Source organism: Homo sapiens, chromosome 3 (assembly GCF_000001405.40).
Source record: "Homo sapiens chromosome 3, GRCh38.p14 Primary Assembly".
In the NCBI taxonomy this organism is placed as follows: domain Eukaryota; kingdom Metazoa; phylum Chordata; class Mammalia; order Primates; family Hominidae; genus Homo; species Homo sapiens.
The window spans coordinates 182,522,148-182,524,616 of record NC_000003.12 but is presented as its reverse complement, the minus strand read 5'-3'; the positions used below and the strand labels follow the sequence as shown (position 1 = coordinate 182,524,616).

The following is a 2,469-nucleotide window of genomic DNA, read 5'->3' as shown; positions in this document are numbered from 1 at the left end:
TGAGCATTAAATAAATTTGTAGCTAAATGTTAGAAATTTATTTAAAGTGCACTAAGAATCTTCAATATATAGACAAATGTTTGTTTAGAATGGAGAAGTTTTGGCCGGGCGCGGTGGCTCATGCCTGTAATCCCAGCTTTTTGGGAGGCCGAGGCTGGTGAATCACGAGGTCAGGAGTTCAAGACCAGCCTGGCAAAGATGGTGAAACCCCATCTCTACTAAAAATACAAAAAAAAAGTAGCTGGGTGTGGTGGTGGGCACCTGTGATCCCAGCTACTTGGGAGGCTGAGGCAGAGAACTGCTTGAACCCAGGAGCGGGAGGTTGCAGTGAGCCGAGATCACACCACTGCACTCCAACCTGGGCAACAGAGCAAGATTCCGTCTAAAAAAAAAAAAAAAAAAAAAAAAAAAAAAGAATAGAGAAGCTTTTTGTGGGCGTTGAGGGAGGGATTAAGCTTCATCATTAAGTTTAAGACACTTGGAGCATTTTCTCTTCCAAGGCACATGCACATTCCCTTACACACCCTCTGAATCCCAAACAGCATTCAGTCTGGGTGGGGTAAATATGTGACAACACACCTGGAGAAATAGCTGAATCATCCATCAGTTGCAGTTCAGGTATTTGGCGCTGGCTGGAGGCATAATGATGAGGCAGGGATTCTTGGTTTCTTGTCTACCTCCTCTCCTTCCAGTGCTTTCTTTCAACTTCATAGTTCCAGTTTGGGAGCATTTGGAGTGAGATAGAGAGAAGTGTGAGATAAAACTGGAAATATTGGGACAGGCCGACAGAAAGAACTTGAGAATTTCTCTCTCTCAGTCTGCCATTTTTTTCCTCAACACACCAACACAGCTAAGTGCACAGGTATGTTTATTTCAGCACTATTTACAATAGCAAAGACTTGGAACTAACCCAAATGCCCATCAATGATAGACTAGATAAAGAAAATGTGGCACATATACACCATGGAATACTATGCAGCCATAAAAAAGAACGAGTTCATGTCCTTTGTAGGGACCTGGATGAAGCTGGAAACCATCATTCTCAGAAAACTAATGCAGGAATGGAAAACCAAACACCAAATGTTCTCACTCATAAGTGGGGGTTGAACAATGAGAACGCATGGACACAGTGAGGGGAACATCACACACTGGGGCCTGTCGGGGGGTAGGGGTCAAGGGAAGGGAGAGCATTAGGACAAATACCTAATGCATGTGGGGCTTAAAACCTAGATGACGGGTTGATGGGTGCAGCAAACCACCATGGCACATATATACCTATGTAACAAACCTGCACGTTCTGCACATGTATCCCAAAACTTAAAGTAAAATAAAAACAAAGAAAGAACCTACCTCTATCCTGTATTCCTCTTTAACGATCACCTTCTCTTTTCTCTTTCATACCTCAGCTTCCTGAGATCTGTCTGAAGTTTCTTTCTTACCCTCACATTTGGCTTCTGAACTGTTCAATGTGGCCTGATGTGAGCTTCTATCTTGCCTCTGTAACTGCTTTCACTGAATTCATTAATGACACAACTGCAAATCTAGTGGGCATGTTAAAGTTCTTATCTTAGGCAACACATCTAAGGTCTGATATTGTTGATCTCCTTCTTCTTTTTTTTTGAGATGGAGTTTTGCTCTTGTTGCCCAGGCTGGGGTGCAATGGCATGATCTCGGCTCACCACAACCTCTGCCTCCCAGGTTCAAGTGATTCTCCTGCCTCGGTCTCCCGAGTAGCTGGGATTATAGGCATGTGTCACCACGGCCAGCTAATTTTTTTATTTTTAGTAGACACGGGGTTTCTCCATGTTAGTCAGGCTGGTCTCAAACTCCCGACCTCAGGTGATCCACCTGCCTCGGCCTCCCAAAGTGCTGGGATTACAGGTGTGAACCACTGCACCCAGCCGATCTCCCCCTTATTCTTAAAACTCCTTTCCACAATTTCCTTCTTACCTTGCTGTCCTCTTACTTCATGAGAGTCTTTCCCCTTTCATGTTGGTGTTCTCCAGTGGTCTCTAGGTACCTCTTCTGATTTTATTTTTCATACCCCATGTCTCTGCTCATGCAGTTTCAAAAGGTTTTATTCTGAGCTCTGGGCCCATATTCCAATTGCTTTGTGGAAGCCTTTCACGTCTGCTCTGTGGGTATCACAACATCAGCCTATCACTGATGTGCTGAATTTATTGTCTCTCCTCCAAAATTCGTCCTTCTTCTTGTGCTTCTGATTCTGCTTACCACTTCCACCACACACTTGATCTCCCATGTCAGAAATTTGGAAATCATCCATAGCTCTTTCACCCTTACCACGTACATCATCGTCACCAAATTCTCCTGATTTTGCTTCTTAAATGGCTTTCAAGCCTCTCTTTTCTTTTGCCCGCCCATTTTTTCCTGCTGTGGTTTAGCTACCCATCATTTTAAATCTTAACTGATTTTTTTTTTACGTCCAGTTTCTTTCTCCTTAAGACTCAT

The 2,469-nt window shown here is 43.6% G+C and overlaps 1 annotated feature.

The window, feature by feature from the left end:
• Positions 262-1,461: an enhancer, noted in NCBI's record as "MED14-independent group 3 enhancer chr3:182240944-182242143 (GRCh37/hg19 assembly coordinates)". NCBI's record gives its function as "activates an origin of replication core promoter dependent on BRD2, BRD4, P300/CBP and CDK7 cofactors, and independent of MED14, by STARR-seq in HCT116 cells {active_cell/tissue: HCT116}" and the evidence as "EXISTENCE:reporter gene assay evidence [ECO:0000049][PMID:35650434]".